The sequence below is a fragment of the Homo sapiens genome, chromosome 19 (genome assembly GCF_000001405.40).
Source record: "Homo sapiens chromosome 19, GRCh38.p14 Primary Assembly".
NCBI lineage: Eukaryota > Metazoa > Chordata > Mammalia > Primates > Hominidae > Homo > Homo sapiens.
This window is the reverse complement of record NC_000019.10, coordinates 10,942,074-10,968,016: the sequence shown is the minus strand read 5'-3', so window position 1 is coordinate 10,968,016 and position 25,943 is coordinate 10,942,074. Positions and strand designations below refer to the sequence as shown.

At 50.4% G+C, this 25,943-nt stretch overlaps 1 protein-coding gene across 22 annotated transcripts in view, besides 4 other annotated features; it reads right to left on the bottom strand.

Moving 5' to 3' along the window:
* The window catches only part of SMARCA4 (SWI/SNF related BAF chromatin remodeling complex subunit ATPase 4), a 101,244-nt gene extending 94,257 nt beyond the window's left edge, over nt 1–6,987 (bottom strand). For 18 of the 22 annotated variants that reach the window (NR_164683.1, XM_011528198.2, NM_001128844.3 and 15 more), the window contains exon 1: nt 6,843–6,987. The gene's annotated coding sequence lies outside the window, so the exon portion shown is untranslated. Of the gene's footprint in view, nt 1–6,287; nt 6,708–6,842 lie in introns of those variants that run through there. The other 4 variants (XM_047439243.1, XM_006722846.3, XM_047439248.1 and 1 more) reach the window with 1 other exon arrangement.
* Nucleotides 3,973–4,102: an enhancer, noted in NCBI's record as "active region_14000". NCBI's record gives its function as "activates an Ori minimal core promoter by ATAC-STARR-seq in GM12878 lymphoblastoid cells {active_cell/tissue: GM12878}" and the evidence as "EXISTENCE:reporter gene assay evidence [ECO:0000049][PMID:35858748]".
* Nucleotides 6,620–6,679: a silencer, noted in NCBI's record as "silent region_10099". NCBI's record gives its function as "represses an Ori minimal core promoter by ATAC-STARR-seq in GM12878 lymphoblastoid cells {active_cell/tissue: GM12878}" and the evidence as "EXISTENCE:reporter gene assay evidence [ECO:0000049][PMID:35858748]".
* Nucleotides 6,730–6,789: a silencer, noted in NCBI's record as "silent region_10098". NCBI's record gives its function as "represses an Ori minimal core promoter by ATAC-STARR-seq in GM12878 lymphoblastoid cells {active_cell/tissue: GM12878}" and the evidence as "EXISTENCE:reporter gene assay evidence [ECO:0000049][PMID:35858748]".
* Nucleotides 6,840–7,259: a silencer, noted in NCBI's record as "silent region_10097". NCBI's record gives its function as "represses an Ori minimal core promoter by ATAC-STARR-seq in GM12878 lymphoblastoid cells {active_cell/tissue: GM12878}" and the evidence as "EXISTENCE:reporter gene assay evidence [ECO:0000049][PMID:35858748]".

Below are 25,943 nucleotides of genomic sequence, written 5' to 3'. Positions count from 1 at the left end.
TAGTCTCAGCTACTCGGGAGGCTGAGGCAGGAGAATGGCATGAACCCGGGAGGCGGAGATTGCAGTGAGCCAAGATCGTGCCATTGCACTCCAGCCTGGGCAACTAAGCAAGACTCCGTCTCAAAAAAATAAATAAATAAATAAAAATTAAAAAAAAATACAAAATTAGCCGGGCATGGTGGCGCACGCCTGTAATCCCAGCTACTCAGGAGGCTGAGGTAGGAGAATTGCTTGAACCTGGAAGGCAGAGGTTGCAGTGAGCCGAGATCACACCGCTGCACTCCAGCCTGGGAGAAAAGAGTACAACTGTCTCCAAAAAAAAAAAAAAAAACCACACATTTGAAAGGGGCCAGGGTTGGTTTCCACCCTACTAACATTTACCTATTTTCTAAAGAAAGCCCCCTTCCAGTCGGGCGCAGTGGCTCACGCCTGTAATCCCAGCAGTTTGGGAGGCTGAGGCAGACGGATAACGAGGTCAGGAGATCAAGACCATCCTGGCTAACATGGTGAAACCCCGTCTCTACTAAAAATACAAAAAATTAGCCGGGCGTGGTGGCGGGCGCCTGTAGTCCCAGCTACTCAGGAGGCTGAGGCAGGAGAATGGCGTGAACCCGGAAGGGGGAGCTTGCAGTGAGCTGAGATCGTGCCACTGCACTCCAGCCTGGGCGACAGAGAGAGAGCAAGACTCCATTTCAAAAAATAAAATAAAATAAAATAAAATAAAAACAAGAAAGCCCCCTTCCCTGAGGGAATTGGAGGGAAATCAATGTGTCCCTTCTCTCTGCCCTGTAACAACAAACCCAGCTACACCTGGCACTTCCATCCAGGCCCTTTCCCATATATGAAGAAGAGTTGAGGCCACAAATCACATGCCCATCAATCCCACACCCTGAAAAATTAATGATTAATGTCCTTAGGATGCAGTTAACAGAAAACTTCAATCAAGAAATCACTGGGCATACTAATGAGTCCGCTATGTCTCCTTAGGGTTGACACCTATGAGGGTGGCAGCACCTGAAGCTCCATTCAGCCTCAGGCTTCATTCTGACCTGTTCCCTCTCATACCTTCCCCCAGTATTCCAGCAGCTGTTATCCTTCCCAACCCCCGGCTTTTTTTTTTTCTTTTGTAGAGACGTAGTCTTGCTCTGTCGCCCAGGCTGGAGTGCAGCGGCACGATCTCGGCTCCCTGCAACCTTGGCCTCCCGGGTTCAAGCAATTCTCCTGCCTCAGTCTCACAAGTAGCTAGGACTACAGGCGCACACCACCATGCCCAGCTAATTTCTTTTGTATTTTCGTAGAGACGGGGTTTCACAATGTTGCCCAGGCTGGTCTTGAACTCCTGAGCTCAGGCGATCCGCCCGCCTCGGCTCCCAAAGTGCTAGGAATACAGGCATGAGCCACCGCGCCCAGCCCAACCCCCGGCTTTTTTAAGATAGGGTCTTGTTGTGTCACCCAGGTTGGAGTGCAGTGGTGCGATCACAGCTTACTGCAGCCTCCACCTCCTCGGCTTGATCCTCCCACGTCAACCTCCCAAGTAGCTGGGACTACAGGTGTGCAACACCATGCTTGGCTAATTTTTTAACTTTTCTGTAGAGACGGGGTTTCGCCATGCTGCCCAGGCTGGTCTTGGATTCCTGGGATCAAGTGATTTGCCCTGCTGGGCCTCCCAAAGTGTGGGAATTACAGGCATGAGCCACCACACTCGGCTGAACATTTGATATTTTTAAAAACCTGGCCGGGCGCGGTAGCTCACGTCTGTAATCCCAGCACTTTGGGAGGCTGAGGCAGGTGGGTCACCTGAGGTCAGAAGTTCAAGACCAGCCTGGTCAACATGGTGAAACCCCGTTTCTACTAAATATACAAAAAATTAGCCAGGCATGGTGGCGGGCACCTGTAATCCCAGCTACTCGGGAGGCTGAGGCAGGAGAATTGCTTGAACTCTGCAGTCGGATGTTGCAGTGAGCCAGGACCGCATCATTGTGCTCCAGCCTGGGCAACAAGAGCGAAACTTCACCTCAAAAAAAAAAAAAAAAAAAAAAAAAAAAACCATGCCACTAAACACACTCTCCCTTTTCCAATGCCTTATGGTGAAATTTCAAAGCATGGTTTTCTTCACCACATAACATTTTGGTCAATGATGGACCAAATATACAATAGTCCCATAAGATTATACCTTCCTCCTTGAATTGTCTAATTAGAAAAATTTTTTAAAGATCATAATACTGTATTTTTCCCATACGTTTTCTGTTTAGATATATTTAGATACACAAATACTATCGGGTCACAACTGCCTACAATAATCGGTACAGTGACATGCTGTACAGGTGTATAGCCTGGGAACAATAGGCTATACCACAGAGCCTACATGTGGACTAGGCTCCACCATCTAGACGTGTGTAAGCACACTCTATCATCTTCACGCAACCACAAAATCATCTCACAACGCATTCCTCAGAATGCATCCCTGCTGTTAAACAATGTGCAGCCATTAAGGACAAAATGGAGGAGCTGACTCCTTTGCTACCACTTTGAAACATACAGAACTTATGACTAGAGGAAAAAGTATATTATCTGTGTCATCCCACCAGGCTGTTGCAGGAATCCTAATAAATGATGAGCACTAACAACTGTTTAGCACTATGTGCCAGGCACCATTCTAAGCACTTCGCATTTGTCACTGGTTGTTCAGCTCTTGCAGCAATCCTACAAGCTGGGTACTAGTACTGTCCCCCTTTGCAAGTCAAGAGTGGGGTGTGAGCTACTAAGAACAGGACCCTTGTCTGCCTGTTCCCCATGGAATCCCCAGCTCCCCAGCAGTGCCTGGCACATGGCAGGCGCTCAATGCATGCTTGTTCGCCACATAAATGGGGAAGAGTGGCTGGGTCATTTCTTGCACAACTCCAGGGGGCACTATTCACATTGTGTTCTGTCTACAGGCACCATGAATGGGTCCTTCTGTGCCATGGCAGCCTTGATGACCGAGGGATGGAAAGACAAAACCAGGAGTCAAACCCAGGTGGTTGACTTGACAACCCTTGTGGAAAGAAAATAACCCTAGGCCTCAGTTTCCTTACTGATAGAAAGTTCCACCAGACTGGCTGGGCACGGTGGCTCACGCCTATAATCCCAACACTTTGGGAGGCCGAGGTGGGCAGATTACAGGAGGCCAGGAGTTCGAGACCAGGAGTTCTGGCCAACATGGTGAAACCCGGTCTCTACTAAAATACAAAAATTAGCTGGGCATGGTGGTGCACGTCCTTAGTCCCATCCACTCCAGAGGCTGAGGCATGAGAATCGCTTGAGACCAGGAGGCGGAGGTTGCAGTGAGTCAAGATCGCACCACTGCACTCCAGCCTGGGCGACAGAATGACTCTGTCTCATAAGAAAAAAAAAAAAAGAGGCCGGGCGCGGTGGCTCATACTTGTAATCCCAGTACTTTGGGAGGCCAAGGGCCAAGGTGGGTGGATCAGTTGAGGTCAGGAGTTCAAGACCAGCTTGGCCAACATGATGAAATCCCATCTCTACTAAAAATACAAAACTTAGCCAGGTGTGGTGGTGCACACCTGTGATCCCAGCTACTCAGGAGGCTGAGTCAGAAGAATCGCTTGAACCCGGGAGGCAGAGGTTGCAGTGAGACGAGATCGTGCCATTGCACTCCAGCCTGGGCAACAAGAGTAAGATTCCGTCTCAAAAAAAAAAGAAAGAAAGAAAGAAAGTTCCACCAGACATCTGCCCAAAACCCTAGTCCCTCCCATGCTCCCACCTCCCACAAACAGCCAAAACATGGAATGGTCTAAGGTTATCTCCTGGTGTTTTGAGGGTTCCCAAGGAGAAGCAAAGGTACACAAATAAATTGTAAATAAATACACATATGTTGGAATGCTCCTCACTGACAAGAAGTTTAGAGACCACTGCACTGCCCTATATCACAATTCTGATGACATCACCTCCCCTGCTCAAAAGCCTGCACGATCAACATTTACGTCTCCTAAAGGGCTGGACACAAAATGATTTTAGGTGGCCCATGCAAAACCATTTATTACTTTCCTAACTATGCATGAATTAATTTTTATTCCTTTTTTTAGACAGGGTCTCGCTTCGTCACCCAGGCTGGAGTGCAGTGGCTCAATCATGGTCCACTGCAGCCTGTACCTCCTGCCCCAGCCTCTCAAGGAGCTTGGGACTACAGGGGCATTGCACTCCAGCCCGGATGACAGAGCGAGACTCCGTCTCAAAAAAAAAAAAAAAATCAAGTGTTCACTACGCATCAGGTGCAGCAGTGTGTTAGCGGCTTCCCATGTGACCTCATTCAACCCTCACAAGAAGCCTGTGAAGTTTCGGGCATCCTCGTCCTACCTGTTTCACAAGTGGGGGGCCCTACTGCTAAGCGCCTCGCTTGAGGTTAAGCTACGATTTAGAGAGCTGGGTGTGAATTCAGGAGGTCTGATTCCAGAATGAGTACTCCTTACCACCACCCCACGCTAACCACCACCCCACACTTTGTAGGGGAGATGAGGACAACTGAGGTTCAGGAAACAATGGCTTGGAAAGTGCAAAAACTGTTCAAACAACTAACCTGTATCCCTTACAATCCACCCCCAGTCCTGCACCAAGCTTTCTTTTTCTTTTTTTTTTTTTTTTTTTTTGAGACAGTCTTACTCTGGTGCACAGGCTGGAATGCAGGGGCACAAGAATGGCTCACTGCAGCCTCCACCTCTCTGGCTCAAGCAGTCCTCCTACCTCAGCCTCCTGAGTAGTTGGGACCACCGGTGCATGCCACCACACTCGGCTAATTTTTGTATTTTTTGTAGAGATGAGGTCTCACTATGTTGCCCAGGTTAGTCTCAAACTCCCGGGTTCAAGCAATTTTCCCGCCTCAGCCTCCCCAAGTGCTGGGATTTCAGGTATGAGCCACTGCACCTGGCCCTGCACCAAGCCTTTTACACAGATGGTCACGCGATCTTCCACAGGACCCCCTCATTCAATCCACATAAGTTCGCTAAAGACCTACTATGTGTCAGGCCCAGGGTACTGTGGGGCCAGCCAGGCAGACACAACCCCAGCTCTCACGGTGCTGGGGGTGACAGCTACACCGGAAAGGACCAAGTTGATGTATGAATGTAGCTGAGGGGAACAATGGCTAGTCCGAGGTGGCCAGGGAAAGTCAAAATACAATCCTGGCGCAGTGGCTCACACATGTAGTCCTAGCACTTTGGGAGGCCGAGGTGGGTGGATCACCTTAAGTCAGGAGTTTGAGACCAGCCTGGCCAACATGGTAAAACCCCATATCTACTAAAAATACAAAAATTAGCCAGGCGTGGTGGCGGGCGCCTGTAGTCCCAGCTACTCAGGAGGCTGAGGCAGGAGAATCGCTTGAACCCAGGAGGCGGAGGTTACAGTGAGCGGAGATTGGGACTCTGAACTCCAGCCTGGGCGACAGGCAAGACTCTGCCTCAAAAACAAAATACAATCCTACACACCCTCCCTGATTTTGAGGCCCCCTCTTCCAAGCAGCCCCCGTGATCTCTGGCTACCACCGATCCCCTGCCTGTCCGCTGTGTCCCTCTCACAGTGCAGGTTCAGAGCAATAAACGATAGGCCAAGAGAGTTTGTTCCCACATTTACCACCCGCTCCCCTCCAAGACTGCAGAGGCTCCAGGATCCAACCCCCGACCATCCAACACTTAGTAGGGCCTCAAGAAGTTATCTGCTGAACAATGAGGGAGATTGGACCAGACAATTACAATAGTGCTTCCCGCTTGCGAGGAACCATTTTACAGGCTTTCACCAATTCCATTTGGGAGATTACCCCCTTTCACAAAGGAGCTTTCACAAAGGAGGAAAACTAAGAGGTTCAGAGAGGTTAAGCCACTTCCCTAAAGTGACAGTGTGCTAAGTGACTGACAGCACCAGGAATCAAGCTTGAATGCAGCCTATCAATCCAAACTGAAAACTTGCTTCAAATTCCTGCGAAGCGGCTTTTCCGCTTATTCCCTTGCTACTTTCCCCAAGGAGTCACTGACCAAAAAAAAAAAAAAAAAAAATCAAGACTGGTATCTTCAAGATCGGGACAAAACACTCGCCCAAAAGGTCCACGTTGAAAATAAAAGCCTTAATCTGAAAAACCAATTGGGAAGGAGAAAAAAGGATGCAAAAGAAAAGCAATGCTTTTACACAGCAAAGGATTTCCTCCGTGCTCCCCTACTTGCCGCCGACCCCATCCCCAACCCCAATTCGGGCAAACATTTTGAAGTCACTAACTGCAAGGCATCGGGGGAGTCCTTTACCTTTCCTTGAAAATCTGGAATGACACGTTTTTAAGACAATTTGAGGTCGGCTAGCCCAAGGGGACCGCTAATGCCCGTGTCCGGCCGACGCCGGACATATCTGGAGGTTTGGCTGAGCCCCGATCGCAGCTTCGCCAAAAACGCAACATTCGGGTCGGACCCGTTACCACGCAGCCAGAAAAGCCCCAACGCCTGCCTATTGTTGCAGCCGCTGTAATTGGGAGGGCGACTGTAGGGGTGCCGGGCGAGGGGGGCGAGCTTTGTCCGGCGACCCCGGCGAGAGCGCGCGCGGAGAGGATCGCGCGGCCTCCACGCGGCCCGGGCCCCCCACCCACCCCGCCGCTCCGCGGGGGCCGCCGCTGCCACGGCCTCGCGACACTGTGGCCTTCCCCACGCGCGCGGCTGCCGGCTGGGCTTCTTGACCCTCGGGCGCCGCCGTACCCCGGCCCCGCACAGGGCGCGCCGGCAGCCCCCTCCCCCCTCGGCGCCCCGGCTCCATTCAAACCGCCCTCCCCGGCCCCGCGCCGCGCTGCCCCCGCGGCCCGCGTTCCTTACCAGGAGCCGCCGGCGCCGTCGACTTCCCGGCGCCTCCCCCGCCCCTCCGCGCGGGGCCGGGGGCAGAATGGGCGTCTCGCTTCTCTTCACGAAACAAAGAAGCCGCCGCCGCCGCCAAACGAGGGGAAGCCTCGCGCGCGCGCCCGCCCGCCTCGGCCACCGCCCCCCCTTCACACACACGCGCGCCACCCGCGCCCCCGCTGCGCGCGCGCTCGCCGGCTCCCCTCCCCCTCAGCACCGCGGCGGCCTCTCCAGCTTCCGCCGCCTGCCCGGCCTCGTGCGCGCGCCAGCCCGCCCTTCCGCTCCCGGCGCGCGTGCGCGCCCGTCCCTGGGCGGACGGGGGTGGGCGTGGCCCGGAGGAAGCACGCGCGTCCGATGCACCGCCCCACTCGGGCCGCGATGGCCCCGCGCCTGCGCACGCTTCGCCTTCTGCACGCCTCGCGTCTTGACGCCCCGGAGCATGCGCAGAGCGGACGCCACTGCGGCGGCGGTGGCGGCGGCCGCGGTGACGATGGGGCAACTGGAGAATGGGATCCCGGTGGCCGTGGGGTCCGTGGGGAAAGGAGGTCCCTGAGGCTCGGAAATAGGAACCCTGGACCGTAGGACGGGCCGCCTGGACCAAGACCGGGCAGTGGTTTCCCGCGGGCCAAGGGCGCGCCTGGGAACCGCTTTGATCCCTGACCTGGGGCGGCGAGGCCTATTTGGGGAGGCAAGGCGGGGCCCGACCGTGGCCGCCTTCTCTGCAAAACTTCCCAAGTGCCATTAATTAGCTTAGCAAATATTTATTGATCTGCTACTGTGTCCCAGCCGCCGTGGAGCCCTCGGTCTAGTGGGGAAGGAGGACAAGAAGCAAGATTAATAAGCAAAATAGTGCAGTATGAGAGGCCGGACTTGGTGGCTCACGCCTGTAATCCAGCACTTTGGGAGGCCGAGGCGGCCGGATCACCTGAGGTCGGGAGTTAGAAACGAGCCTGACCACCATGGTGAAACCCGTCTCTATTAAAAATACAAAAATTAGCCGGGCGCGGTAGCTCATGCCTGTAATCCCAGCACTTAGGGAGGCCTAGGCTGGTGGATCATGAGGTCAGGAGATGAGACTATCCTGGCTAACACGGTGAAACCCCGTCTTTACTAAAAATACAAAAAATTAGCCGGGCGTGGTGGCACACGCCTGTAGTCACAGCTACTCGGGAGGCTGAGGCAGGAGAATCGCTTGAGCCCAGGAGGTGGAGATTGTAGTGAGCCGAGATCGTACTATTGCACTCCAGCCTGGGCAACAAGAGTGAAATTCCGTCTCAAAAAAAATAAATAGTACAGTGTGAGGTGAACACTGGGAGGATCATGGACATTTTAAATAGGGCAGCCACGGAAGTCGTCGTTGCAAAGAACACGTTTGAATGCATACAGGCTGGTGGTGAAAGAGAGAAACCTTCCTCCGAGAGTGAAGGCCCTGAGCCTCTTGGCCTCTTCTGTGTGTTTTCTTTTTTGTGTGTTTGTTTGTTTGTTTGTTTGTTTGTTTGTTTGTTTTGAGACGGAGTCTTACTCCATTGCCCAGGCTGGAGTGAGGTGGCACGATCTCAGCTCACTGCAACTTCTGCCTCCCAGATTCAAGCGATTCTCCTGCCTCAGCCTCCCGAGTAACTGGGACTACAGGCGTCCGCCACCACGCCCGGCTAATTTTTGTATTTTTAGTTGAGACAGAGTTTCACCATGTTGGCCAGGCTGGTTTTTAACTCCTGACCTCAAGTGATCCGCCCACCTCAGCCTCCCAAAGTGTTGGGATTACAGGCGTGAGCCACCTCACCTGGGTGGGTTTTTGTTTAATTGTTTGTTTTATTAGAGACAGGGTCTTGCTCTGTAACCCAGGCTGGAGTGCAATGGTGTAACCACAGCTCAGTGCAGCCTCAAACTCCTGGACTCAAGGGATCCACCTCAGCCTCCCAAATAGCTGTGACTACAGGTACATGCCACCACCACCAGCTTTTTTTTTTTTTTTTTTTTTTTGTCTGTTATGTTCTGTAGAGCTGAGGTCTGCTGTGTTACCCAAGCTGGTCTCAAACTACTGGGCTCAAGCAGTCCTCCTGGCTCAGCCTCCCAGTGCACTGGGATTACAGGCATGAGCCACCAAGCCAGGCCCCAGAAGGACCTGGGTTTAAAACACGACTCCATTTCTACTACCTGGGTGATGCATGGGTAATACCAGGCAGGTTTACCAGAGCATCTACACCTCACTTTCTTCACCTGTGAAACAAACAATAAGGCTGGGTGCGGTGGCTGACATCTGTAATCCCAGCACTTTCGGAAGCCAAGGTGGGCAGATGACCTGAGGTAAGGAGTTCGAGACCAGCCTGGCCAACATGGTGAAACCCCGTTTCTACTAAAAATACAAAAAAATTAATTAGCCAGGCATAGTGGCAGGTGCCTGTAATCACAGCTACTCGGCAGGCTGAGGCAGGAGAATTTCTTGAACCCAGGAGGTGGAGGTTACAGTGAGCCAAGATCATGTCATTGCGCTCCAGCCTGGGTGACGAGAGTAAAACTCCATCTCAAAAAAAAAAAAAAAAAAAAAAAATGCTGGGCCCAGTGGCTCACGTCTGTAATCCCAACACTTTGGGAGGCCAAGGCAGGTGGATCATGAGGTCAAGAGATTGAGACCATCCTGGCCAATGTGGTGAAACACCATCTCTACTAAAAATACAAAAATTAGCTGGCTGTGGTGGCGCGTGCCTGTAGTGCCAGCTACTCAGGAGGCTGAGGCAGAATTGCATGAACCCAGGAGGCGGAGGTTGCAGTGAGTCGAGCGTGCCACTATACTCCAGCCTGGTGACAGAGGGAGATTCCGTCTCAAAAACAAAACAAGACAAAACAAAAAAAACCCACCAGAAACAATAATGGCTCCCACTTCCACTGTTTGGTTATGAGGAATCATGACAGCAGGTAGCCCACCTGCTAGCTCTCTGATCCTCAGCTAGTGTTATTGAATAGTGCACAGTAAGTGAGCAAGTAGAAGTGGGATCTGAACTCGATTCCTCATTCATTCAAGTAGTTATTTTTTTGTTTTTTTGTTTTTGTTTTTGAGACACAGGCTTGCTGGGTCATCCAGCCTGGACTGCGGTGGCACGATCAGTACTCACTGTAGCCTCGACCTCCTGGGCTCAAGCGATCCTCCTGCCTCAGCCTCCCGAGTAGCTTGGACTACAAGGGTGGGACACCACACTCAGCTAATTTTCTTAAAATTTTTTGTAGAGACAGTCACACTATGTCGTCCAGGCTGGTTTCAAACTCCTGGGCTCAGGTGATCCTCCCACCTCAGCCTCCCAAAGTGCTGGGATTACAGGCGTGAGCCAAGGCGCCCGGCCAAATAGTATTTCTTATGCTCTCTCCAAATGCTAAGCATTGAGCTAGGAATACCCTGCAGCAATGCATGGAGGAGGCAGGGTTGCTGCCCATGGAGTGGATGGTATGACTGTTCTCTAATTGTCTTTTATGCTAATCACACTAATATGCAATAGTGTAAAGAAAAACAGGCCGGGCCAGGCGCGGTGCCTCACGCCTGTAATCCCAGCACTTGGGAGGCCGAGGCAGGCGGATCACCTGAGGTCAGGAGTTCAGGACTAGCCTGACCGACGTGGAGAAACCCTGTCTCTACTAAAAAAATACAAAATTAGCCGGGTGTGGTGGTGCATGCCTGTAATCCCAGCTACTTGGGAGGCTGAGGCAAGAGAATCGCTTGAACCCAGCGGGCAGAGGTTGCGGTGAGCTGAGATCATGCCGTTGCACTCCAGCCTGGGCAACAAGAGCGAAACTCCGTCTCAAAAAAGAAAAACAGGCCGGTTGTGGTAGCTCATGCATGCCTATAATGGCAGTACTTTGGGAGGCCCAGGCTGGCAGATCACTTGAGGACAGGCGTTCAAGACCAGCTTGGGTAACATTGTGAAACCCCATCTCTACAAAGCAATACAAAATTTGCCAGGTGTCTCAATTAAGAGCACAGTTCTTAATAATGAACTGCCCCTGGGACCTTGGCCCCATGTCTGCATTGACACCCTTGGCTTCCAGACTTTAAAAAAAAAACATCTACAGGCTGGGCGCAGTGGCTCACGCCTGTAATTCCAGCACTTTAGGAGGCCGAGGCAGGCAAATCACAAGGTCAGGAGCTCGAGACCAGGTCAATATGGTGAAACCCTGTCTCAACCAGGCACGGTGGCTCACGCCTGTAATCCCAGCACTTTCTCTGGGATCGCAAGGTCAATATGGAGTTCGAGACCTGGTCAATATGGTGAAACCCCGTCTCAGCTGGGCGCAGTGGCTCACACCTGTAATCCCAGCACTTTGGGAGGCCGAGGCGGGCAGATCACGAGGTCAGGAGATCGAGACCATCCTGGCTAACACAGTGAAACCCCGTCTCTACTAAAAATACAAAAAAATTAGCCAGGCGTAGTGGCAGGCGCCTGTAGTCCCAGCTACTCAGGAGGCTGAGGCAGGAGAATGGCGTGAACCCGGGAGGCACAGCTTGCAGTGAGCTGAGATCCCGCCACTGCACTCCAGCCTGGGCGACAGAGCGAGAGTCTGTCTCTAAAAAAAAAAAAAAAAGAGAGACCCCGTCTCTATTAAAATACAAAAATTAGCCAGGTGTGGTGTCAAGCACCTGTAGTCCCAGCTACTCGGGAGGCTGAGGTAGGAGAATCGCTTGAACCCAGGAGGCGAAGGTTGCAGTGAGCCAAGATCACACCACTGCACTCTAGCCTGGGCGACAGAGACTCCATCTCAAAAAAAAAAAAAAAAGAAGGGGAGGAGAGGGCAGGGCAGGGGAGGGGAGGGGAGAGGAGGGAACGGGAAGTGGGGGAGGGGAATCATCCCAGAGGAGAATGGATTTTTTTTTTTTTTTTTTTGGCGCAATTTCCGCTAACTGCAAGCTCCGCCTCCCAGGTTCACGCCATTCTCCTGCCTCAGCCTCCTGAGTAGCTGGGACTACAGGTGCCCGCCACCACGCCAGGCTAATTTTTTGTATTTTTAGTAGAGACGGGGTTTCACCGTGTTAGCCAGGATGGTCTCGATCTCCTGACCTCGTTATCTGCCCACCTTGGCCTCCCAAAGTGCTGGGATTACAGACATGAGCCACTGCGCCCGGCCTTCTTCTTTTTTTTTTTTTTTTTTGTTTTTTGAGACGGAGTCTTGCCCTGTCACCCAGGCTGGAGTGCAGTGGCTCAATCTTGGCTCACTGCAACCTCCACCTCCCACCTCCCAGGTTCAAGAGATTCTCCTACCTCAGCCTCCTGAGTGGCTGGGATTACAGGTGGATTCTTCTCTTTTACTCAAAGATGAGGGCTTGAAATAACAACTCACCCAAGTCCAGAACATGAAAATGTAAAATACATTGACTTCAGTTGCCACTGCAAGTTAAACACCTTTTCAGTAATATCTCCAGATCTTCCTTGGAATATGAAATCACTCATTAGTTAACAAAATGTGCATTTATTCATCAAAAATGACCTCTTGTGCCTGGGCACAGTGGCTCACACCTGTAATCCTGGTATTTTGGGAGTCTGAGACGGGCAGATTGCTTGAGCCCAGGAGTTCAAGACCAGCCTGGGCAACATGGCGAGACCCCATCTCTACTAAAAATACAAAAATTAGCATGGCATGGTGGTGAGCACCTGTAATCAGAGCTACTCCGGAGGCTGAGGCAGGAGAATCACCTGAGCCCAGAAGGCTCTCTAGCCTGGTGATAGAGGAGACCCTGTCTCAAAGAGAAAAAAAAGAAAGAGGTCAGGCGCGGTGGCTCACACTTGTAATCTCAGCACTTTGGGAGGCCAAGGCGGGCAGATCACACGGTCAGGAGTTCAAGGCCAGCTTGACCAACATGGTGAAATCCTGTCTCTACAAAAAATACAAAAATTGGCCGGCGTGGTGGCGCATGCCTGTAATCCCAGCTTCTCAGAACGCTGAAGCAGGAGAATCGCTTAAACCCCAGAGGCAGAGGTTGCAGTGAGCTGAGATCGCACCATTGCGCTCCAGCTAGGGCGACAGAGCAAGACTGTATCTCCAAAAAAAAAAGGAATTGGCAGGGCTCAGGCCTGTAATCCCAGCACTTTGGGAGGCCGAGGCGGGCAGATCACGAGGTCAAGAGATCGAGACCATCCTGGCCACCATGGTGAAACCCTGTCTCTACTAAAAGTAGAAAAATTAGCTGGGCGTGGTGGCGGGCATCTGTAATCCCAGCTACTCGGGAGGCTGAGGCAGGAGAATCGCTTGAACCCAGGAGGCAGAAGTGAGGTTGCAGTGAGCCAAGATCGCCCCACTGCACTCCAGCCTTGTGACAGAGGGAGACTCTGTCTCAAAAAAAAAAAAAAAGGTGATTTCCGTAAACCTAGCAGTGAGATGTACGATGCAGAAAACAGTTCTTCCAAGACAGAAACTCAGGGCAATAGCTTTATTTTATCCAGTAGCTGTGGTTTTAACACAATTCAGGAAATCCCCAGCATTTCACATCATGTTTATACTAAGCATCCCACTTCTACCAACTACATATGGAAACCTGACTGCCCACATTTGTTAGAAATTTTGTAGGTGTTTTATTTTAGCTATATTGTTTTATCTTAAGTTGAATTTATTAAGCTCTTCTAAGATTCTGGCTCTGAATGATGGCACTTTGGGTCTCCACCAAGAGTAATCACCAAACTGGGTGCGGTGGCTCATGCCTGTATTCCCAGCATTTTTGGAGGCCAAGGTAGGAGGATCGCCTGAGCCCAAGAGTTTTAGACCAGCCTGGCCAACATAGGGAGACAGTATCTCTAGAAAACTTTTAAAAATAAGCGAGGCGTGGCAGCACATGCCTATAGTCCCAGCTACTCGGAAGGCTGAGGAGAGAGAATCACTTGAGGCCAGGAGATCAAGGCTGTGTGAGTCATGATTTCATCACTGCACTCCAGCCAGGGCCACAGAGCAAGACCCAGTCTCAAAAAAATAAATAAAAAGGAATAAACTATTGAGATGCACAACAGATGAGATGAATGAATCTCTCTTTTTTTTTTTTTTTATTTGAGACGGAGTCTTGCTCTGTCGCCCAGGCTGGAGTGCAGCAGCGGGATCTCGGCTCACTGCAAGCTCTGTCTCCTGTGTTCACGCCATTCTCCTGCCTCAGCCTCCTGAGTAGCTGGGACTACAGGCACCTGCCACCACGCCTGGCTAATTTTTTGTATTTTTAGTAGAGACGGGGTTTCACCGTGTTAGCCAGGATGGTCTCAATCTCCTGACCTCGTGATCTGCCCGCCTCGGCCTCCCAAAGTGCTGGGATTACAGGCGTGAACCACGGCACCCAGGCGAGATGAATGAATCTCTAGGGAATTATGCTTTGGGCGGGAACCGGGGAGGGGAAGCCAATCTCAAAAATGTTACATACTATCTGATTAAATTTTTTTGTTTTGTTTTGTTTTGATTTGATTTGTTTTGAGATGGAGTCTCGCTGTGTCTCCCAGGCTGGAGTATAGTGGTGCAATCTTGGCTCACTGCAACCTCCACCTCCTGGGTTCAAGCAATTCTCCTGCCTCAGCCTCCCAAATAGCCGAGATTGCAGGAGCCCACCACCACGCCCGGCTAATTTTTGTATTTCTAGTAGGGATTGAGTTTTACCATGTTGGCCTGGTGGATCTCAAACTCCTGACCTCAAGTGACCCACTCGCCTCAGCCATGATCAGTATTTTGAATGTGGGCGTGAATATGCAAACCTACATAGGAAGCAAATTGTATACAATTTACTACACACGCGCGCGCGCGCGCACACACACACACACACACACACACGAGTACAAGTAAAATGGAGAAAATCCACCTAAGATTGCGCTGGGCGTGGTGGCTCATTCCTGTAATCCTAGCACTTTGGGAGGCTGAGGCGGGCAGATCACTTGAGGCCAGGAGTTTGAAACCAGCCTGGCCAACATGGGAAAACCCTGTCTCTACTAAAAACACAGAAATTAGCAAGTCTTGGCGGCGGGCACCTGTGGTCCCAGTTTTACTCGGGAGGCTGAGACAGGAGAATCTCTCCAGCCTGGGAGGCGGAGGTTGCAGTGACTGAGATTATGCCACTCCGCTCCTGCCTGGGTGACTGAGTGAAAGTCCATCAAAAAATAAATAAATATATAAACCTGGGAGTGGCATCCACAAGACAGTGGCAGAACAGGTTTTCCAACCCTGAACTGGAGCTACTGGAAGTGTCCCAAGGCAAGCCAAGCCGGGGTTTCCCAAACATCACCTGCAGATGTGCTCTCAGTCTGAGAAGAGTGAGTCTGGGCCTCAGCAGGTCTGCTTCTCTCAGAAAAAGCATTTTGCTGTTCTGGGCTTATCCAGCTATTACTTTTCCCTGGGGCTGCACACAAATTCTTCTAGTGACTTTGTAAACATTTAATTAGGTAGGTAGTTAGTTACTTTTTGAGGCAAGGTCTCACTTGGTCACACCCAGGCTGGAGTGCAGTAGCACAATCATGGTTCACTGTAGCATCAACCTCCAGAGCTCAAGCCATCCTCTCGCCTCAGCCTCCTGAGTAGCTGGGGCTACTGGTGCGCACCTCCACACCTGGTTAATTTTTTTTATTTTTTGTAGAGATGAAGTTTCACCATGTTGCCCAGGCTGGTCTTGATCTCCTGAGCTCAAGCAATCCTCTCACCTCAGCCTCCCAAAGTGCTGGGATTAAAGGTATGAGCCACCATGCTAGGCAATTTTGTAAACTTGAAATGCACTTCTCTGAAAACAGAAGACAGCAACAGCCTCTTAAAAATCGTAAGTGTAGGCCGGGTGCAGTGGCTCACGCCTCTAGTCCCAGCACTTTGGGAGGCCAAGGCACACAGATCACAAGATCAGGAGTGTGAGACCAGCCTGGCCAATATGGTGAAACCCCGCCTCTACTAAAAAAAAAATACAAAAATTAGCCAGATGTGGTGGCACACACCTGTAGTCTAGCTATTCTGGAGGCTGAGGAAAGAGGATCGCTTGAACCTGGGAAGTAGAGGTTGCAGTGAGCCGAGGTCGTGCCATTGCACTCCAGCCTGGGCGACAAAATGGGACTCCATCTCAAAAAAAAAAAAAAAAAAATCGGCCAGGCGCGCGGTGGCTCAAGTGTGTAATCCCAGCACTTTGGGAAGCCAAGGCGGGTGGCTCACGTGAGGTCGGGAGCTTGAGACCAGCCTGACCAACATGAAGAAACCCCGTCTTTACTAAAAATAAATAAATTAGCTGGGCATGGTGGCAGATGCCTGTAATCCCAGCTACTCAGGAGGCTGAGGCAGGAGAATTGCTTGAACCCAGGAGGCAGAGGTTGCAGTGAGCCTAGATTGCGCCATTGCACTCCAGCCTAGGCAACAAGAGCTAAACTCCATCTCAATTAAAAAAGAAAAAGGCTAGCCGGGCGCAGTGGTTCACGCCTGTAATGCCAGAACTTTGGGAGGCAGAGGCGGGCGGATCACGAGGTCAGGAGATCGAGACCATCCTGGCTAACACAGTGAAACCCCGTCTCTACTAAAAATACAAAAAATTAGCCAGGCATGGTGGCGGGCGCCTGTAGTCTCAGCTACTGGGGAGGCTGAAGCAGGAGAATGGCCTGAACCCGGGAGGCGGAGCTTGCAGTGAGCCAAGATTGTGCCACTGCACTCCAGCCTGGGCGACAGAAAGAGACTCCGTCTCAAAAAAAAAAAAAGAAAAGGCTGGGCACGGTGGCTCATGCTTGTAATCCCAGCACTTTGGGAGGCCGAGGCAGATGGATCACAAGGTCAAGAGATCGAGACTATTCTGGCCAACATGCTGAAACTCCATCTCTACTAAAAATACAAAAATTAGCTGGGTGTGGTGGCTTGGGCCTGTAGTTCCAGCTATTTGGGAGGCTGAGGCAGAGGCGGAGGCTGAGCTTGCAGTGAGCCAAGATCGCGCCACTGCACTCCAGCCTGGCGACAGAGCGAGACTCCGTCTCAAAAAAAAAATCATAAGTGACAACTTTAGGAAGCCTACGGGGGCAGATGACTTGAGGCAAGGAGTTTGAGACCAGCCTGGCCAAAATGGTGAAAACCCATCTCTACTAGAAATTCAAAAATTAGCCAGATGTGGTTATAGCTACTTGGGAGGCTGAGGCATGAGAATTGCTTGAACCCAGGAGGCAGAAACTGCAGTGAGCTGAGATCGTGCCACTGCACTCCAGCCTGGGCAACAGAGCGAGACTCTGTCTCAAAAAAAAAAAAAAAAATTCAGAAGTGGCAGCCACCTCACACCATTAGGAGAGCTACTGTTAAAAATAAAATAAGGCTAGGCATGGTGGCTCATATCTGTAATCTCAGCACTTTGGGAGGCCCGGGTGGGGGGATCACTTGAGCCCAGGAGTTCAAGACCAGCCTGGGCAACAGAGGAAGACCTTTTTTCAACTAAAAATAAAAAATTGGTCTGGCCACGATGGCTCACCCCTGTAATCCCAGCACTTTGGTAGGCCGAGGTGAGCAGATCACTTGAGGCTAGGCTGGCCAACATAGTAAAACCCCATCTCTACCAAAAATACCCAAAAGAACCTGTCTCTACCAAAAATACTCCATCACTACCAAAAAAAAAAAAAATCAAAAATTAGCCAGGTGTGGTGGTACATGCCTGTAGTCCCAGCTACTCGGGAAGCTGAGGCACCAGAATCACTTGAACATGGGTGGCAGAGGTTGCAGCAAGCCAAGGTTGTGCCACTGCACTCCAGCCTGGACAATGGAGTGTGACCCTGTCTCAAAGAAAAGGGAAATTTTATGTAATGTGTATTTTACCACAATTTTTTTCTCTTTTTTTTTTTTTTTTTTTTTGGCACAGGTTCTCACTCTGTTGCCCAAGCTGGAATGTCATGGTGTGATCATGGCTCACTGAAGCCTCAACCTCCCAGGGGTCAGGTGATCCTCCTACTTCAGCCTCCCACTACAGGTTGGTGCCAGCACACCCAGCTAATTTTTGAACTTTTTTTTTTAGAGATACATCTTGCTATGTTGCCCAGGCTGGTCTCAAACACCTGGGCTCAAGTGGTCCTCCTGCCTTGGCCTCCCAAAGTGCTAGGATTACAGACATGAGCCACCGTACCCAGCCTTTTTTTTTTTTTTTTTCCTGAGATGGAGTCTCACTCTGTCGCCCAGGATGGAGTGCAGTGGCGCGATCTTGGCTCACTGCAAGCTCTGCCTCCCGGGTTCACGCCATTCTCCTGCCTCAGCCTCCTGAGTACCTGGGACTAGAGGCGCCCACCACACACCCGGGTAATCTTTTTGTATTTTTTTTTTTTAGTAGAGACGGGGTTTCACCATATTAGCGAGGATGGTCTCGATCTCCTGACCTCGTGATCTGCCCGCCTCTGCCTCCCAAAGTGCTGGGATTACAGGCCTGAACCACTGCGCCCGGCCTTCTTCTTTTTTTTTTTTTTTTTGTTTTTGTGAGACGGAGTCTTGCCCTGTCGCCCAGGCTGGAGTGCAGTGGCGCAATCTCAGCTCACTGCAACCTCCACCTCCCGGGTTCAAGCTACTCTCCTGCCTCAGCCTCCCGAGTAGCTGGGATTACAGGTGCATGCCACAATGACAGAGCTTTTTTTTTTTTTTTTTTGTATTTTTAGAAGAGACAAGGTTTCACCATGTTGGCCAGGCTGGTCTCGAACTCCTGACCTCAGGTGATCCGCCTGCCTTGGCCTCCCAAAGTGCTGGGATTTTATAGGCGTGAGCCACCATGCCCAGCTTTACCACAATTTTTTTGTTTGTTTGTTTCTTGTTTTTTGAGACAGAGTCTCACTCTGTCGCCCAGGCTGGAGTGCAGTGTCGAGATCTTGGCTCACTGCACCCTCCACCTCCCAGGTTCAAGCGATTCTCCTGCCTCAGCCTCCTGAGTAGCTGGGATTACAGACACGTGCCACCACACCGAGATAATTTTTGTATTATTAGTAGAGATGGGGTTTCACCATGTTGGTCAGGCTGGTCTCAGACTCCTGACCTCAGGTGATCCACCTGCCTTGCCCTCCCAAAGTGCTGGGATTACAGGTGTGAGCCACTGCACCCAGCCTGCAGAATTTTTTAAAAAGTCATAAACAGCAATACTCCAGGCCACCCAGCTATCCACCACTGAACTCTGCCTAGGTCCTTGTGATCAGTTTCAGGTGCCAGCTGAGAGATGTGAGAAATCTTCAAACGAAAAGAATCAGCCCCAGTTAACTGAGAATTGACTGCTGATCGGGTCGCCCTGGGAAATTTAAGAGACTGATTTCATCTGATTAAGAACATGGATTCTGGGCCAGGTGTGGGGGCTCAAGCCTGTAATCCTAGAACTTTGGGAGGCTGAGGTGGGCAGATCACCCGAGGTTAGGAGTTCGAGACCAGCCTGGCCAACATGGTGAAATCCCGTCTCTGCTAAAAATACAGAAATTAGCTGGCATGGTGGCAGCGTGCCTGTAGTCCCAGCTACTCGGGAGGCTGAAACATAAGAATCACTTGAACCCAGGAGGCAGAGGTTGCAGTGAGCCGAGATCGCACCATGGCACTCCAGCCTGGGCGACAGAGTGAGATTGTGTCTCAAATAGAAAAAAGAAAAATATATATGGCTTCTGTATTTCTGGGCTATTTCCAAAGCGAGGGGACGCGGAGGTGCTTGTCATGGACTCACATCGTGGGACCTTCTGAGATTAGTTTCGTGTTCCACGTGACAGAATGGAATTAGGAAGGCACCAGGTGGCAGTGAGTCAGCCAGCAGGCGTGGGAATTACTGCCAAGAGGCCTCACTTGGAAGAAAAGCTGTTCTTTTGGGGTGCCAAATCTGGTTTTCCTTTTTTTTTTTTTTTTTTGAGATGGAGTCTCGCTCTGTCACCCAGGCTGGAGTACAGTGGTGCAATCTTGGTTTACTGCAAGCTCCACCTCCTGGGTTCACGCCATTCTCCTGCCTCAGCCTCCTGAGTAGCTGGGACTACAGGCGCCTGCCACCACGCCTGGCTAATTTTTTGTATTTTTAGAAAAGACAGGGTTTCACCGTGTTAGCCAGGATGGTCTCAATCTCCTGACCTTGTGATCTGCCCGCCTCGGCCTCTGAAAGTGCTGGGATTGCAGGCATGAGCCACTGCGCCTGGCCTTTTTTTTTTTTTTTTTTTTTTTTTTTTTTTGATGTAGGGTCTCACTCTTTCACCCACACTGGAGTACAATGGTGTGATCTCGTCTCACCGCAACCTGTGCCTCCCAGGCTCCAGCGATTCTCCTGCCTCAGCCCCCAGAGTAACTGGGATTACAGGTGCCCACCACCACGCCTGGCTAATTTTTGTATTTTTAGTAGAGACAAGGTGTCACCATGTTGACCAGGCTGGTCTCGAACTCCTGACCTCAGGTGATCCTTATATCTATACCTCGGCCTTCCAAAGTGATGGGATTACAGGCATGAGCCACCAGGCCCGGCCAGTACTGGAATGTTAATGACATTTTTTTTTTCTTAATTTTCTTTTTTTCTTTTTTGGGATGGAGTCTCATTCTGTTACCCAGGCTGGAGTGCAGTGGCTCACTGCAACCACTGTGTCTCAGGTTCAAGTGGTTCTCCTGCCTCGGCCTCCAAGTAGGTGGGATTATTTGGTGCCCCCCACCATACCCGGCTAATTTTTGTATTTTCAGTAGAGACAGGGTTTTGCCATGTTGGCCAGGTTGATGTCAAACTCCTGACCTCAGGTGATCCGCCTGCCTCAGCCTGCCAAAGTGCTGGGATTAGAGGCGTGAGGCACTGTGCCCAGCCTTTTTTCTTAATTTTCTTGTAGAGAGGGGTCTCATTATGCTGTCCAGGCTGGTCTCAAATTCCTCAGCTTAAGTGATCCTCCTGCCTCAGACTCTCAAAGTGCTGAGATTACAGGCCTGAGCCACCGTGTCTGGCCAAATATTTTAATTTCTGATTATGAAGATTTTTGTTTGTTTGATCTGATAGCAAACCAGGTTGTGTAGTCTACCCTCCTGCTGCGAACTAAAAGAGCTATTCCAGGAATTTTAATGTTGGCATTATAGGCATTTTGGCTTAGTTACTTCTTGGTTGAGGGGGATTTCCTGTACATGGTAGAATGTTTAGCAGCTCATTAGTCCCAGTAACACCCCTCCTCCAGTTCTGACAACTAGAAATGTCTCCAGATATTGTGAAATATTTCCAGGGAGGTCAAAATTTCCCCTGCTTGAGAACCAGTGGACAAAACAAAACATTTAATTTAATTGATTTTTCTTTGTGTGTGTGTGTGTGTGTCTGTGTGTGTGTGTTTGAGACGGAGTCTCGCTCTGTCACCCAGGCTGGAGTGCAATGGCGGATCTTGGCTCACTGCAAGCTCTGCCTCCCGGGTTCACACCATTCTCCTGCCTCAGCCTCCCGAGTAGCTGGGACTACAGGCACCCGCCACCATGCCCGGCTAATTTTTTGTATTTTTAGTAGAGATGGGGTTTCACCGTGTTAGCCAGGATGGTCTCGATCTCCTGACCTCGTGATCAGCCCGCCTTGGCCTCCCAAAGTGCTGGGATTACAGGTGTGAGCCACCGTGCCCGGAGTTGTTTTTTTTTTTTTTTTTGAGACAGAGATTTGCTCTGTCACCTAGGTTGGACTGTAGTGGCACAATCTTGACTCACTGCAACCTCCGTCTCCTGGGTTCAAGTGATTCTCCTGCCTCAGCCTCCCGAGTACCTGCGATTACAGGTGCCTGCCACCATGCCCGGCAAATTTTTTCTATTTTTAGTAGAGATGGGGTTTCACCATGTTGGCCAGGCTGGTCTCGAACTCCTGACCTCAAGTCATCTGCCCACCTCGGCCTCCCAAAATGCTGGAATTACATGTATGAGCCACGGCGCCTGGTCCATTTTTCTTTTTTCTTTTTCTTTGAGACGGAGACTCACTCTGTCACCCAGGCTGGAGTGCAGTGGCGCAATCTTGGCTCACTGGCACCTCTGCCTCCTAGGTTCCAGCGATTCTCCTGCCTCAGCCTCCTGGGTAGCTGGGACTAGAGAAGTGTGCACCATGCCCAGCTAATTTTGTATTTTTAGTAGAGACGGAGTTTCACCATGTTGGCCAGGCTGGTGTCGAACTCCTGACCTCAGGTGACCCACCCCCCCCCCCCACCCCTTGGCCTCCCAAAGTGCTGGGATTAGAGGCTTGAGCCACTGCACCCAGCCTTCACCTTAAAATATTTTTGGGCGAGCATGGTGGCTCACACCTGTATTCCCAGCATTTTGGGAGGCTGAGGCCAGTGGATCGCCTGAGGTCAGGAGTTTGAGACCAGCCTGGCCAATGCAGTGAAACCCTGTCTGTACTAAAAATGCAAAAATTAGCCGGGCGTGGTGGCGGGCACCTGTAATCCCAGCTACTCGGGAGACTGAGGCAGGAGAATCACTTGAACCCAGGAGACTGAGGTTGCAGTGAACCGAGATCACGCCACTGCACTCCAGCCTGGGCGACAGAGCGAGACTGTCTCAAACAAAAAAAAAGAAAGCATTTTTAAATAAGAAATATTTTCTTAACATCGCTTATCATTAGGGAAATGCAAATCAAGACCACAATGAGATACCACTTCACACCCAAACAAAACACAACAGAAAATAACAAGTATGGGTGAAGACATAGAGAACTCGGAGTGCTGTGCAGCATGATTGGTAAGAATGTAAAATGGTGCAACCTTTGTGGAAAGCAGCAGGGCGCAAATTGAAAAAGACAGAGGCAAATGGCCATTAGCTGATAGCAAACATCTGCATTAAAGGAGCTTTTTTTTTTTCTTTTTTGGAAGGTCTCCAAAAATGAAAAAAAAAGCTCACCACAGCCTCAACTTCTTGGGCTCAAATGGTTCTCCCGCCTCAGCCTCCTGAATAGCTGGGACCACAGGCATGCGCCACCACACCTAGCTAATTAAAAAAAATTTTTTTTGGTCTGGCACAGTGGCTTATGCCCATAATCCCAGCACTTTGGGAGGACAAGGCAGGCGGATCACCTGAGGTCAGGAGTTCGAGACCAGCCTGGTCTACATGGTGAAACCCCGTCTGTCTAAAAATACAAAAATTAGCCAGGTGTGGTGGTGTGTGCCTGTAATCCCAGCTATTCAGGAGGCTGAGGCAGGAGAATTGCTTGAACCCAGGAGGTGGAGGTTGCAGTGAGCTGATACCATGCCATTGCACTCCAGCCTGGGTGACAGAATGAGACTCTGTCTCAAAACGAAACAAAACAAAACAAACAAAACACTAGCCGGCCATGTTGGCACACGTCTGTAATCCCAGCTACTTTGGAGACTGAGACACAAGAATCGCTTGAATCCAGGGGGCAGAGGTTGCAGTGAGCTGAGATCACGCCACTGCTCTCCAGCCTGGGCGACAGAATGAGACTGTGTCTCAAAAAAAAGCAAAAAAAAAAAAAAAACCCAAAACACTAGCCAGGTATGGTGGCACACATCTGTAATCCCAGCTACTTGCGAGGCTGAGGCACAAGAATCGCTTGAATCCAGGAGGCAGAGGTTACAGTGAGCTGAGATCGCACCACTGCACTCCAGCATGGGCGACAGAGTGAGACCCCATTTCAAAAAAAAAAATATTTTTTTTTGTTTAGAGATAGGATCTCGCTCTCTGGCCCAGGAAGGTGTCAAAATCCTGGCCTCAAGTGGTCCTCTTGCCTTGGCCTCTGAAAGTGCTGGGATTACAGGCATGAGCCACAGCACCCAGCCTTGTTTTGTTTTACTAGCTATTCTCATGGGTGTGACATGTTATCTCTCCCTCTTTTTTTTTTCGAGATGGGGCCTCGCTCTGTCACCCAGGCTGGAGTGCAAGGGCGCGATCTCAGCTCACTGCAACCTCCACCTCCCAGGTTCAAGTGATTCTCCTGCCTCAGCCTCCCGAGTAGCTGGGACTACAGGCACGTGCCACCACGCCCAGCTAATTTTTTGTATTTTTAGTAGAGACAGGGTTTCACCGTGTTAGCCAGGATGGTCTTGATCTCCAGACCTCGTGATCCACCTGCCTCGGCCTCCCAAAGTGCTGGGATTACAGGCATGAACCACCACACCCAGCCTCTCCCTCTTTTTTTTTATTTTTATTTTTTTTTTGAGACAGAGTCTCACTGTTCAACTAGGCTGGAGTGCAGTGAGATGATCATGGCTCACTATGGAGTCAACCTGCGGGGCTCAGGTGATCCTCCACCTCAGCCTCCCAAGTAGCTGGGACTACAGGAGCACACTACCTCACTCAGGTAATTTTTTTTTTTTTAGAGGGAGTCTTGGTCTGTCACCCAGGCTGGAGTGCAGTGGCGCGATCTCAGTTCACGGCAACCTCTGCCTCCCAGGTTCAAGCGATTCTCCTGCCTCAGCCTCCGGAGTAACTGGGATTACAGACACCCACCACCATGCCTAACTTTTTGTATCTTTAGTAGAGATGGGGTTTCACCATGTTGGCCAGGCTGGTCTCGAACGCCTGACCTCATGATCTGCCCACCTCGGCCTCCCAAAGTGCTGGGATTACAGGTGCGAGCCACTGTGCCCTGGCTATATTTTATTTTAGTATTTATTTATTTATTTGTTTATTTATTTATTTATTTATTGAGAGGGAGTCTTGCTCTGTTGCCCAGGCTGGAGTTCAGTGGCATGATCTCAGCTCATTGCAACCTCTGCCTCCCAGGTTCAAGTGATTCTCTCACCTCAGCCTCCCCAGTATCTGGGACTACAGGCACATGCCAGCACATCTGGCTAATTTTTGTATTTTTAGTAGAGACAGGGTTTTTACTAAATTTTTCATATTTTTAGTAGAGATGGGGTCTCCCTATGTTGCCCAGGTCAGTCTCAAACTCATAGCTCAAGGGATCCATCCACATTAGCCTCCCAAAGTGCTGGGATTACAGGCATGAGGCACTGTGCCCCACCGTGACAGTTTACTTCATTGTGGTCATCCTCTTGATATTTTGAAAGCATTCAAACTCTACAGTGGCTTTTATATAATTAAACAACAATTTTAAAGAGATGGAGGTGTCACTATGTTGACCAGGCTGGTCTTAAACTCCTGGTCTCAAACTCCTCGTCTCAAGCAATCCTCCCATCTCAGCCTCCCAATGTGCTGGGATTACAGTGTGAGCCACCACGTCCAGCCTATAGTGGCTTTTGTAAAAACCCCTACAGAGTGAGGCCTATCATATTATTTCAAAAGCCTACACCCAATATCTAACTGTTCTCAGAAGAAATAGGGAGACTTTTCAGAGCATCACTACCTAAGCAAGGTCACAGATTGGAGCCCCAGCTGGGAGGAAACAGAGCTATCAACATTAGATGTGCCTCAACAAAGACCAGTGCAGTCCCTGCAGGGGATGATGAAAACTTTTCAAAGCCAGCTGTCCCACGAGTAAAGTTTAAACCAATCCACAGAGCACAGATCCTACACTGATAAGCAATAACACTACAGCAGAACTCAAGCAATGGAAAATCCTACAAGTTTTAGCATGAATAACATCCACAAGAGCTGGGTTATTAGAGCAGAGCACCTCTCCCTGGTTTTGATTCAAAGAACTTGCCAGAATTTAAATTAATTATTTTTTCATGTAATTATTTGCTGCAAGGCTGGGCACGGTGGCTCACGCCTGTAATCCCAGCACTTTGAGAGGCCGAGGCGGGCGGATCACAAGGTCAGGAGATTAAGACCATCCTGGCTAACACGGTGAAACCCCGTCTCTACTGAAAATACAAAAAAATTAGTCATGTTGGCCTGGCTGGTCTCGAACTCCTGACCTCAGGTGATCAGCCCGACTTGGCCTCCCAAAGTGCTGGGATTACAGGCGTGAGCCACTGTGCCCGGCCCCTGCATTTTATTTCAATGGAAGGATGTCTAACTTAATTTTCCCACAAATGGTTTCCAGATCATCTCTCATTCAGGGCAAACACCAGATCAGGCCTCTACAAGGAACGACAGATTAGTGCAGCTGGGAAATGGGTAACACCCACCTGATAGAGAAAGGGGGTTCTTGCTCCCTCTAGTGTTCACCACACACTACAGATGTCCTGCTGTTCCCCTGTAAGGCGACCAGTAATACCTACCATGTCAGCTTTGAAATAACCAAGATGTCACTAAGTAGATGGGTGAATAAACCAACTGGGGTCCATG